At 39.3% G+C, this 13,308-nt stretch overlaps 1 protein-coding gene across 5 annotated transcripts in view; it reads left to right on the forward strand.

Moving 5' to 3' along the window:
• LRIG2 (leucine rich repeats and immunoglobulin like domains 2) overlaps window positions 1-13,308 on the forward strand; it is a 59,063-nt gene that overhangs the window by 23,723 nt on the left and 22,032 nt on the right. For all 5 annotated transcript variants that reach the window (NM_001312686.2, NM_014813.3, XM_005271369.3 and 2 more), the window contains 4 exons: window positions 1,785-1,865; window positions 3,291-3,362; window positions 3,500-3,568; window positions 10,674-10,837. In NM_001312686.2, the coding sequence (NP_001299615.1) occupies window positions 1,785-1,865; window positions 3,291-3,362; window positions 3,500-3,568; window positions 10,674-10,837 (386 nt within the window). The remainder of the gene's footprint in view (window positions 1-1,784; window positions 1,866-3,290; window positions 3,363-3,499; window positions 3,569-10,673; window positions 10,838-13,308) is intronic.

Here is a 13,308-nt window from a genome sequence, read left to right on the forward strand (position 1 = left end):
ACATAGCTTGTAAATGTTGGGCCAGAATCAGATCCCAGGTCTGTTTGATGCTAAAGCTCATGTCCATTTTATCATACCAACAGAAGAACAAAATCACTTAGCTTTTCCTGGCCATCATTTTTTTTTCTCCTTTATACGGTGAAGGAAGGATATAGGATTAGATGGTTGCTAAAGGCAGTTTCCACGCTAAAATTCTGTGGTTCTGTAAGTTATTCAATTTACAGAATATAAGAATGTGTTTTTGTGAACTTTATATATTTATATATAAATATATCTAATTTTAGAATATAATTTTATTAAATGAAGAGGTATTTTAATGAAATATAGTAATCTCAAACACAGAGCAGAATAAAAGAAAACAAAGAGTAATTAGTAGAATTTGTAGATTCTTAAGCTTCCTGAATAGAGGACTTTGTGGTCATTAGGTTTCGAGTTGAAATGGTTCAGAGAAGAGGCAGGTTCCCAACTTGGAGACATAACCATCAATGAGAGGGAAAACAAGATAATTTTGTGAAGGGTATATACATGCACAGGTGTGTATTTGATTTTTTAAAAAATTCCTTTAGATTTGGCCTTGAAAAATTAAAAGTGATTGTATTTTTCCTTTTCCTATATTATCAGAAGTGAAACTGGATCAATGCAATCTCAGAAACTTAGATGTAGCTGCAGCCTTTTGGCAGTTGAAGGGATGGCAAATAGGTTATTTTAGTATACCACTGATTATTACTTTTAGAATTAAAGTTTTGGGAAGTAATAGCAGAAGTAAATGGTTGTGTAGTGCCACAGAGATAGTTAAGACAGAGTTAGGATCAAATCTGGGGAATTCTGGCTTTAGCCTCATGCTCTTGCCAGGGTAGATACAGTTCTTAATTTGTTGAATGGTTTCTATTTATGCTGTGCTGTGGAGGAGGGGGAAAATCCTGAAGAGTTGAGCCATTGGTTCTTTCATTATTTATTCCTTAGTAAAATAAAATGAGCTTTATTAGCTTTTCACTTAAAGAAAGCTAAGTGAAAACAGGGATCTCCTCTTTACTGCTAATCACACAACTCTACATGTCCCTTATAAAGTAGAAAGCTTTGTGCTTTATTATGAGATGACTTAAGGAAGCAAAAGCGATTAAATATTTTTAATTATATGGAAATAATTCTTTTATCATAACATGATGTGGTACAATTGCATTTCCTCTGAGAATGGAACAGTGAATTTTAGGAGATCCATACTTTCCCTTTGAAAGAAAATCTGATGACACGCTAACACATGGGTTTATCATTTTTGCTTCCCATGGGGCATCTTTAATTGCTCTTGAGCAATGAAACTGTATTGATATTACTCTCTGTCAGCCATTGTAAGTTCAAGGTCCCAGAGGAAGGCTTGGGTCACCCAGAAATCCCATTAATCTGAAATCAGATTTATAAGCCATATACCCTGCATCTTGAAACCCTCCTGCTCTTTTCAGGACCCTGTTTATAATTTTTAATATGCTAACATAATGAAGGGCTCTTTGCTTGGAAGAGTAATACTTTTAGCAGGTTGCTTTATTTACCAAGGCCAGCTTAATTGTTAGCTTATAAGAATCAGTTCTTACGTGTTTATTACAGATATTTCTTACGTGTTTATTACAGATATTTCTTAAGAAGCAGAGTTGAGCCTTCATCATAAATAACTGTTAAAGTAAGGATCAGAATTAGCATGTGTACCTTGACATCACCATACCAGGATACTGCTCAATGTTGTGATGGTTGTATTGACTAATAGCACCTGTCTTTCTCTGACATTTTTGTAGAGACTTAAGAAACAATGAAATTTCATGGGCCATAGAAGATGCTAGTGAAGCCTTTGCTGGACTCACAAGTCTCACTAAACTGTATGTATTATAATATTTATGTATGTCTACATAGGCATGTTTTCAAGAACCGGCTGTAAATATGATTGAATTATGTTTATTTCATATGGCTACAAAGTCTGAGCTTTCTGACACTCTGGGAGCTCTGTGGGGTTTCTTTGTTTGTTTGTTTGTTCGTTTTTTTGAGACTGAGTCTCACTCTGTATCCCAGGCTGGGATGCAGTGGCACGATCTCGGCTCACTACAACCTCTGCCTCCTAGGTCCTGGTTCAAGCAATTCTCCTGCCTCAGCCTCCTGAGTAGCTTGGATTACAAGCGCATGCCACCATGCCCAGCTAATTTTTGTATTTTTAGTAGAGACAGGGTTTCACCATCTTGGCCAGGCTGGTCTTGAACTCCTGACCTCGTGATCTGCCTGCTTCAGCCTCCCAAAGTGCCCGGATTATAGGTATGAGCCACTGAACTTGGCTGGTTTTTTTCTTTTTTTTTTTGAGACAGGGTCTTGCTCTGTCACCCAGGCTGGAGTGCTGTGGTGCAATCACAGCTCACAGCAGCTTCAACCTCCTAGGCTCAAGTGATCTCCCACCTTGGCCTCCTAAGGAGCTAGGACTAAAGGTGTGTATCACCATGCCTAGCTAATTAAAATTTTTTTTTTTGTAGAGACAGAGTCTCACTATATTGCCCAGGCTGGTGTTGAACTCCTGGGCTCAAGTGATCCTCCCACCTTGGCCTCCCAAAGTGCTGGGATTATAGGCATGAGCCCCCATGCCCAGCTAGTTTTTTTGTTTTTGTGTTTTTTTGTTGTTGTTGTCGGGGCACTTTTTATTGAAAAAGCATTCCTGTGGACACTTAAAGAGAAGTTATTTATGGAAGTAGAATTTCTATTCAAGTAAAAGGAATGCATTGAGAAAGTAGAGTAATGTGTTGGTAATCTGTTTAATTTGTAGTTTGTTTAATTGTAGGAGATTTGTGAGTAATTTATCTAGCAGAAGTAGAGCATTCTCTCACATAAGATTTTAGATCTTTTCCCATGAGAAGAATTTCTCCAAAGGTTCACACTTGTCTGAATTTCTTTCATCTGACAATCTTTTGCTCTGAATGGAGACATGAGGAATATAATGAATTTAACATCTGAAAATTACCAGTTTATCAGTGGTCAAGATGGTTGTTCACCTCATTGAGCTTTAACATCTTGATAGACACTTTTATGCTATGTTTTGCATTGATTAATAATTAAATTTCATAACTTTCTTAAAAATGCACGTTCTCATCAAATTGTACACATTAAATATGTGTAGTTTTTAGTATATCAATTGTACCTCAGTAAAGCTGTTAAGTATATAAAAAAGTACGCTACGCTTATTTTCACTTTTTATAGGTAAATGTTTAATGAATTTAATTTTGTTTAGTGGAGAGCTTTCTTAGAAAGATCTGTTTATATTTCAGAATCTTACAAGGAAACCAGATTAAGTCAATTACAAAGAAAGCATTCATTGGTCTTGAATCCCTTGAGCATCTGTAAGTATTTTGCATACATTTTGCTTACTCTATAAATAATCTTTGCTATTAGCAGAGGTTTTCATGACCATGTAAAGTGTTTATGTAACTTGATATAGAAATGGTGACTGATAATGTTTCATTTCTCTTTATTTCAGAGATTTGAACAATAATGCTATAATGTCTATCCAAGAAAATGCTTTTTCTCAGACTCATTTAAAAGAACTGTAAGTAACTTGTCTTTTTAAAATCACCAGTTGGATCATTGTTCCTGCTTGTTGTGCTTAAAGTGTGATGGGAGTGACCCAAGTTATTTCCAAAAGCACACAGTTCAGGCAGGAAAAAAGAAAGTATTAATACTCAGTTATTTAAGCGGCTAGAGGTAATTTTAAAATAGCCAACATTGAAAAGCCCAGAGTGTGTGGCACCAAGACCTTCTGTTTTGCCTGTTCTACCAATGCTTATAATTAGGAGACCTCAGCACTGCTCCTTATGCTTTATGTATACCCTACTGTTCCTTTTTGGATTATCAGAAACATGTGTTACCAGTTCTTAACACCTTGTGTGGGTTACAATAAAGGTATTATGTGATTTTGTTTTATAGTTTCCGAGGTGATTTAACAGTTAGTATAATTGTCAGAGACGGTTCTCTAACCTGTTCAAACTACTAAAATGTCAAAATAGACAAGTGTGTGTATGTATCATTTTATACCCTTTTTCATTGATGAGTTTTAAAAATTGTTCTTACTGGTTTCGAGATTTCCCTAGGGGATTGGAGGTTAGTTGGGCATTGGTATTATTTATATTTATATATTTTTATATATTTTTGGAGACAGTCTTACTCTATCCCCTAGGCTGGAGTGCAGTGGTGCGATCTCGGCCCACTGCAACCTCTGCCTCCTGGGTTCAAGCGGTTCTCACCTCAGCCTCCTGAGTAGCTGGGATTACAGGCGCCTGCCACCACACCCGGCTAATGTTTGTATTTTTAGTAGAGACAGGGTTTCGCCATGTTGGCCAGCTGGTCTCGAACTCCTGACCTCAGGTGATCTGTCTGCTTCAGCCTCCCAAAGTGTTGGGATTACAGGCGTGAGCCACCGGTCCCGCCTGGTATTATTTTTAAACTCTATTGATTCAAATATGCAGTCAGGGGTAAGAACCACTAGATTATAGAAATTATTTTGCCTTGCCTGGGAAGCTACTCAAAGGATACTCTGTGGAGCAGAACTGGTTGATGAGAAGATAAGGATAGAAATGCAGAATAAGCCTTTAGAAACTTTTAGAACAATTTTACATTACTGTGACACTTTTGTTGTAGTTTATAAAAGTATTAGTCTGCAGTGGATTGGAAATTTAAAAGACTGGTCCTTACCATGGATAATTTGAGATGCACTGGAAATGTGTGAGTTTTCAAACTGCCTAGGTTCAAATCCTTACTCCATTCCTTACAACTGTGTGATAATGGGCAAACTGTTAGCCTATGACTCAGTTTCTTTTCCCAGAATGGGAATAGCACCTCCCTCAGGGTTATGTGAAGATAAAGTGAGATAACTTGTTTACTCAAATATTTATTCATCATCTGCTATGTAGGATACTGTTCTGGATGATGAAAACATTAGTGCACAAGACAGAGTCTCTGTACTCATAGCATATTACAGTAAATCCTAGTGAGGAAGATAAATAATAGACCAGTAGATATATAATATCTCATCAGGTAACAACTGAAGAAAAAAAAAACTAAGTCAAAGGTATGAAGAGTGGTGGGGATTGCTATTTTAGATAAAGCAGTGAGGGGAAACTCTTTTGAAGATACAGCATTTGAACCAGGACCTTAATGAAATGGCAAACCATGTGAACACTGGGTGAATGGCTTTCCAGGCACAAGGAGTAGGAAGTAAAATGAGTTTAGAGAGTTAAGCAGAGTAGAATAATTAAATATCTACAATTTTTTTGATATTAATCATCTTATTTCTCATTAGTCGTTCTCTTCATTTGTTCCAGTATTTTTTTTTTTAATTTATTTTTTTTTTGAGATGCAATCTCGCTCTTGCCCAGGCAGGAGTCCAGTGGTGCCATCTCAGCTCACTGCAACCTCTGCCTCCCGGGTTCAAGTGATTCTCCTGCCTCAGCCCCCTGAGTAGCTGGGACTACAGGTGCCCCCCAACCACGCCCGGTTAATTTTTTTGTATTTTTAGTTGAGATGAGGTTTCACTGTGTTAGCCAGGATGGTCTCAATCTCCTGACCTCATGATCCGCCCGCCTCGGCCTCCCAAAGTGCTGGGATTACAGGCATGAGCCACCGCGCCTGGCCTGTCAAGATATTTTTTTTTTTTACCCCAAACTGCTTTGTTCTAACTTACCTTTTTTGTTGTTCTTGAAAAGCATATCGAATTTACAGTTTTAATAGGTCCAACAATAAAATTATGTTCATATTTTTCTTTTTAAAGAGAGAGTTAGGAGGCAGATCATAATAGACCATGAGGAATTAGGATTTTTGCTTTCTTGTATGCATTAGGAAACTGGAGGGTTTTGAGAAAATGCTCAGCACAGAGCTTGGCACAGAGTAGAAGCTGAGTAATGTTAACAATAAAAACTAAAATTAAAATGTTATGAAAATCATCATAGTTATTTTCTGCCAGATTTTTAAAGTAGATATTTTGATCTGTTGAGATATTTTGAGTTATTTCTCATAGGCTTAGTTTAATTATAAGTTGTGACTTACTACAAATTAGTATACTCCGCCCCCCTCCTTTTTTTTTGCCAGTGATAACCTGAGAGCTGGCAAGAAAGTTTTAACTGTTACAAGAACTCAGTTTAACATAAAATTTAAACAGTAGGTCAAAGCAAATATTGCAGTCTCAATCTTCAGAGAGTCATTTAGTAATTTGAGAGTTGTCACAAAGATTCTTTGCTTGACCAACCCGTAGGCAAGCCCTTAAACCTTCTCCTAGGCCTAGCTGTGTAAAATCCAATTTTAGCACAAACCCTGTAAAACCAGTTTAGCAAGAACTCTTCCTCATTGTAGACCATTCCCAGGTGATGTCTGATCACCCTGGCCTGTCTTCAGCAAGAATCCTGTTAGGGTTTAGCCAGAGTCTTCCTTACTCTGGATGTTATTTTTTAGTAATTTCACATCCACTGAGTGGGATGAAAGCAAACCCACCTTGCTCCTTGGCTATACTTGCCCTTGCTGTTTCCCTACTGTCTCTCCCTCACTGAGTCGAACCCAGTCTCTCTCCCCAGCTGCAACATCACATTGCCGTGGTCCCTATATCTATTGAGATGATCCTGAATAACGTCTACCTTACCATGCTTTAACAAGTATCACTGAGTAATTTTTTATTTAACAGTTACGGTGCTGTGACTCCGATAGGATCAGATTCATCATTGGACCCCCAGACCTCTCACCCAGGACCCCAAGTGTGCACCTTTGAAGCCATTGTCTTCACTCCTGACTGATAGATCGGGGATCCAATGGTGAGTCAGACTAACGAACCATTGCTCCGGACAAACATCTGTTGAAGCTGGTAAGGAAAGATTTCGATTCTCAAGATTGTGAATATATTCTCTGGAGTTGGGCTAGAGGCCAGACTTCTTTTGAAAGGTACCTCCTGGGCTTGAAGGTCTTCTTCCTGGCTCTCTTTCCTGAGTGGGGTTTATTCCCTGACTCCCTGGACTAAAAGTCCTTGGAACTCTGTGAGGCTACTCTGTTGTCTCTAATGGATCCTACTTCTCCCATGGCAATTTCTCTGGCATCTGAATCCCCTCTGTTTGAGCCCCTGCTAACTATATTGCTCCACCACTGGTTCTGTCCACCTCCTCCTTGTTGGACCTTTATTGGCCTGTTTGGAATACTTAAGATCTCCCCAGACTGCATCCTGTAAGCTGTCTTTCTTCCCATTGCTACTGCTCCTTATTCCTCCTCTTACCACCTTTAATGTTCCTTCCAGTTCCCTTGAGCCCTTTGATATGACTCCCTTCAAATTCTTACATCCTCCATCCATCTGTCCACCCACTGCTAGACTTTTTCCTTCTCATTCTGGACTCTTTGTCACTGGGACTGTAGGCCCCCCACCCTTCCTGGGGATCTCTCAGGGGACTTGGGGACTCCCAAAAGTAATGACTTGGGTTGAAAAGGAAAAAGAACAATTGGAAATAGCCTAAGTATTTTATCTACACTCAGATGGGCTTTGGAGATATCCAGACAGCCCCTAGATGTCTCTTCAGCCTCCATGAGATTACACATCATGGCAAAATAAAAGTCTTTTTTTTTTTTTGAGATGGAGTCTCCCTCTGTCACATAGGCTGGAGTGCAGTGGCACGATCTCAGCTCACTGCAGCCTCTGCCTTCCGGGTTCAAGCAGTTCTGCCTCAGCCTCCTGAATAGCTGGGATTACAGGCACCCACCACCACACCCAGCTAATTTTTGTATCTTTAGAAAAGAGGAGTGACCTCATCCAATTTATGTTTTCTTAGGTATAATATAAGCTGGACTCAAAAGACCTGGGCCCATATCCTAACTCTACCATTTATTTTAGACGTGATACTGAATGCCTCCAAAATCTCAGTTTCCATTTCTAGAAAATGGAATTGAAAATGCCTACCTCAACCGGGCACGATGGCTCATGTCTGTAATCCCAGTACTTTGGGAGGCCGAGGCGGGCAGATCACGAGGTCATGAGTTCGAGACCAGCCTGGCCAATATGGTGAAACCCTGTCTCTACTAAAAATACAAAAATTAACCAGGCGTGGTGGCATGTGCCTGTAATCCCAGCTACTCAGGTGGCTGAGGCAGGAGAATTGCTTGAACCTGGGAGGTGGAGGTTGCGGTGAGCTGAGATCTCACCACTGCACTCCAGCCTGGGTGACAGAGCAAGACTCTGTCTCAAAAAATAAATAAATAAATAAATAAAGTATTTAGCCCCGTGCCTGGCCACAGACAAAACTTAATTCACAGTAGCTTCCTTCACTTCTGTGTCTTTTGCTTCTTTCCATTCTTCATATACTAACCAAATCCTGAGCACAAGTACTTAACAGAGTATACGGTATTCTCTCAACAAATGTGTGGATAGATTATACTAAAATATTGCTAGTGGTTGTCTTTGAGTAGTGAGGATTTGAGGAGCTTTCTCTCCCTCTTGGTTTAGTGGTACTTTCTAATTTTCTACTATAATTATATAACTTTAATGGAAAGTATTTTAAAATTTATATGCAAGTTTTTCATACACCTCCTGTTATTGATGCAAAGCCTTGTGGGGAATACCAAAAAGTATAGAGGGATTTTAATAAATGTTGACCTAAAAAGTATTATAAATATGACTTTTAAAGTAACCAAAAGCAACCAACAATTCTCAGTAAAAAAGTTGCATTAGAGCCAGGTGTGGTGGCTCATGCCTGTAATCCCAGATACTCAGAAAGCTCAGGTGGGAGGATCCTCTGAGTCCAGGAGTTAGAGACCAGTCTGGGCAACACAGCAAGTTCCTGTCTCAAAACACAGTTGCGTTAAAGTTCCTGCAATAGCAGTTTGTTCAAACCAACTGTTAGAGAAAAAATTACTCAATGAAACTTGTTAAAGCATTATAAAAGCATAGTAATCTTTGCCAGTGCCCCTCTTGTTTAATAACAATATGTCAACTTTGAACAGTTGAACAATGTAAGTCAATTTTTTTCATTCTTAAAATTGAAACTTTGCCAGGCATGGTGGCTCACGCCTGTAATCCCAGCACTCTGGGAGGCCAAGGCAGGTGGATCACGAGGTCAAGAGATCAAGACCATCCTGGCCAATATGGTGAAACCCCGTCTCTACTAAAAATACAAAAATGAGCTGGGCATGGTGGCACGCACCTGTAGTCCCAGCTACTTGGGAGGCTGAGGCAGGAGAATCGCTTGAACCCGGGAGGCGGAGGTTGCAGTGGGCCGAGATTGCGCCACTGCACTCCAGCCTGGGCAACAGAGCGAGACTCTGTCTCAAAAAAAAAAAAAGAGTTAAAATTGAAATTTCTGTGGAATCAGATCTTAGATACTTTATGCCAAACATTAAACTTGATAAGGATTTGATCATGCACATAAAGCAAGTTCTCAAAATCATTTACTTTCCCTGCTTCTAAGTGGATGGGACATTTAAGGGGTCATTGAGAGAAAATACTGATTTTTCAGATATGTTTTACAGGGTTATAAACCACAAATACTTTTTCAGTGCTCTTAGTTTAGATTGCATTACACATTGCACGGTGTTGAAGTGGGTTTTCTTTTTGTTTTGTTTTTGGGAGACAGTCTCACTCTGTTGCCCAGGCTGATGTGCAGTGGCGTGATCTCGGCTCACTGCAACTTCTGCCTCCCGGGTTCAAGCAGTTCTCCTGCCTCAGCCTACCAAGTAGCTGGGATTATAGGTGCCATCCACCACGCCCAGCTAATTTTTGTATTTTTAGTAGAGATAGGGTTTCGCCATGTTGGCCAGGCTGGTCTGGAACTCCTGACCACAGGTGATCCGCCCGCCTCTGCCTCCCAAAGTGCTAGGATTACAGGTGTGAGCCACTGAGCCTGGCCTAGTGCTGAAGTGTTTTTAGTGTTGATGAAATAATTTGACAATAATTATATGTTGTCTACAACAAAGATCTCTCAATGCTCCAATATATAGTAAGTGTTTCCCCATACTTTCATGGGAAAAATTTAAACCTCAAAAATTTAAAGGAAGGTACAATTAACACCCCATACCCTTTATCTAGATTCACCAATTGTTAACTTTTTGCTGAATTTGTTCTATTTCCCTCCCTCCTCCTCTCTCATTTTATCTCTTGCTCTCTCTCCACATACACACAAATATATATATACATATATGCACAGTTTTTTTGCTGACCATTTAAAAGTTGCAGCCATGGTGACACTTCACCTCTAAATATCTCAGCATGTATTTTTTAAGAACAAGTACATTTTCTAACGAAGACATCACCATTACCACACCCAAAGAAATTAACATCGATAAGGTAATATTAACTAATACAGAGTCCATACTCAAATTTCCCCAATGTTAAAAAAAGTCATTTGCAGATTTTTTTTTCAATCAAGGATCACACATTTCATTTTATTGTAATGATTCTTTAGTCGTCTTCAAAACAGATCCCTGGCCACCCTTCTTCCCCTCTCTTTTTTTAGTGTCTTTCATGAGGTTGATATATTTAAAGAATTTTGGCTGACAGTCTCAATTTGTTTTCTCATGATTTATGTTAAATGTTTTTGGCAAGAATAATGGATAGGTGTGTGGTAAGGTTTTAATACTGAAGACGTTTAGAATGAAAAGTAAAACAAAGGATGCTTTTCCTCTTTTCTTTCCTGCAGGATTCTGAACACAAGCAGTTTGCTCTGTGACTGCCATTTGAAGTGGCTACTTCAATGGTTGGTTGATAATAACTTTCAACATTCTGTGAATGTAAGCTGTGCACACCCTGAATGGCTAGCAGGGCAAAGCATCCTGAATGTGGATCTGAAAGATTTTGTCTGTGGTTTGTATTTTTGTTTTAAAATTTTATATATTACACACTTATAATCTTAACAGAATTAAAAAAATTAAACCAGAATGGTTTTCCACTAGGAATTTTTGTAATCATACAGTTTTAATTGCCATTAAAAATGATCACAGGCATTTTAATGAATGAAGGCTTTTCTCTTTTAGAGGGACTGTTAACCTTAGGTTAGGTATTTGGTAGTCAGATTCCTGAATCAAGCAATATGAGTTTTTTTATATGAACATTTTTAGTAGATCTTGAAAAGTGCCACCAGGTACTTTCCAAAAAGATAGCACTAGTTTAAAGTTGTCACCAGCAATGTATGAATATACTGATTCTGTGTGTTTCATATTTTTTGTGTGGTTTCATAACATTAAAGTGGCAGAGTTTTGTTTTTTCCTTGAGGGGAGAGAGATAGTCATAGACAAGTTGTCCTGATTCTAGCACTTATAATTTCAAATATACTTTTTTTTTTTTTTTTCTAATGGAGTCTTGCTGCGTCACCCAGGCTGGAGTGCAGTGGTGCGATCTCAGCTCACTGCAACCTCTGCCTCCCGGGTTCAAGCGATTCTCCTGTCTCAGCCTCCTGAGTAGCTGGGATTACAGGCGTGTGCCACCATACCTGGCTAATTTTTGTATGTTTAGTAGAGACGGGGTTTTGCCATGTTGGCCAGGCTGGTCTTGAACTCCTGACCTCAGGTGATCTGCCTGCCTCTGCCTCCCAAAGTGCTGGGATTACAGGTGTGAGCCACCGTGCCCAGACAATTTCAAGTATACTTCTATATTATTCTTTCTCAATTTGGAAAATTTTCCTTTACACTTAAATGTCCTTTAGGCCGGGCACTGTGGCTCACACCTGTAATCCCAGCACTTTGGGAGGCTGAGGCAGGTGGGTCATCTGGGGTCTGGAGTTCGAGACCGGCCTGGCCAGCATGGCGAAACCCTGACTCTACTAAAAATACAAAAATTAGCTGGGCGTGGTGGCACACGCCTGTAATCCCAGCTTCTCTGGAGGCTGAGGCAGGAGAATCGCTTGAACCGAGAGTTGGAGGTTGCAGTGAGGCAAGATTGTGCCACTGCATTCCAGTCTGGGCAACAGAGTGAGACTCTGTCTCAAAAAAACAATTTTTTTTTTCTTTAAAGTGGAATGACTGATTCTTAGCTTTACATAGGAGAACTTTTAGATCAGTGTATCTATGTTGGATATCCCTAGTATCTCTGATCATTTGAGTACCTATATATTGCCAAATCTGTTTTCACAATGTACTTAAAGATGGTTGGAACAGAACACACACTTGGAAGTTCGGGCTCACAAAATACATCCATTGTTTTTTACAAAGTTTAAAGAAGAAAACAGAATCTAGTAAAGGTTAAATTCTGCTGACATTGCCGCACATTCCCTTTTTACTTAGTTTTAAATATAGACATACCATATATTTCTTCCTCCCCTTCCACTTAACTGCTTTTATGGCACAATGAAATGTTATCCAGTGGAGATACTGGTTAAGAATTTATATACCTGCTTCTCTCAATCAGTCCAATAACATTATTAATTATGAATCCATATTTTATTAGCCAGTCCTAAGCCAATCTTCAGCTGGACATTTGACCTATTTGGATTTTTTCACTACTTCAGGTGAAACCCGTGCACATACAAAATGCTTTCAAATAATTTGTTTTATTAGGTATTCTCTGTGAAATATAAATCATTCATAATCCCCCCATTTTATATTGGCACAGAAAGGATAATGGTTATATATATACATATATTTTTTGAGACAGAGTCTCGCTCTTTTGCCCAGGCTGGAGTGAAGTGGCGTGATCTCGGCTCACTAGCCACCTCTACCCCCCGGGTTCAAGTGATTCTCCTTCCTCAGCTTCTCAAGTAGCTGGGATTACAGGCGGCCGCCACCTCGCCTGGGTAATTTTTGTGTTTTTAGAAGTGACGGGGTTTCGCCGTGTTGGTCAGGCTGGTCTCGAACTCCTGACCTGAGTTGATCCACCCACTTCGACCTCTGAAAGTGCTAGGATTACAGGTGTGAGCCACCGTGCCTGGCCATATACATGTTTATCTATCACATACATATATACAAGGGGTAATAGAAGTAGAACTTGTCTTGAAATCCTAATATAAGGTTTCTGTTTTTCCCCAATAACTGATAATGCTTGAGAAATATATTCTGAGCACACAGGTGACAGTAAGGGCTAGTAGAAAAGTGCTGGATCCTGAAGTCAGGAAACCTGAGTTCCAATCCAGGCTCTGCCACTGACTGACATGTCTTTGAGCAAGTCATTTGAATTTTCTGGGCCTCATTTCCCCCATCTTTAAACAAGGGAATTGGACTGTAGCTCTGTAGTCTCTTTCAACTTTAATATGCCACTTTGTAAACAGAACACACAATTTTATAGTATTTTTTAAAATTGAATCTAAAGCAAAAATAAATAACTGACTTGGCTACGGATGCATT

The sequence above is a fragment of the Homo sapiens genome, chromosome 1, assembly GCF_000001405.40.
Source record: "Homo sapiens chromosome 1, GRCh38.p14 Primary Assembly".
Classification (NCBI taxonomy): Eukaryota; Metazoa; Chordata; class Mammalia; order Primates; family Hominidae; genus Homo; species Homo sapiens.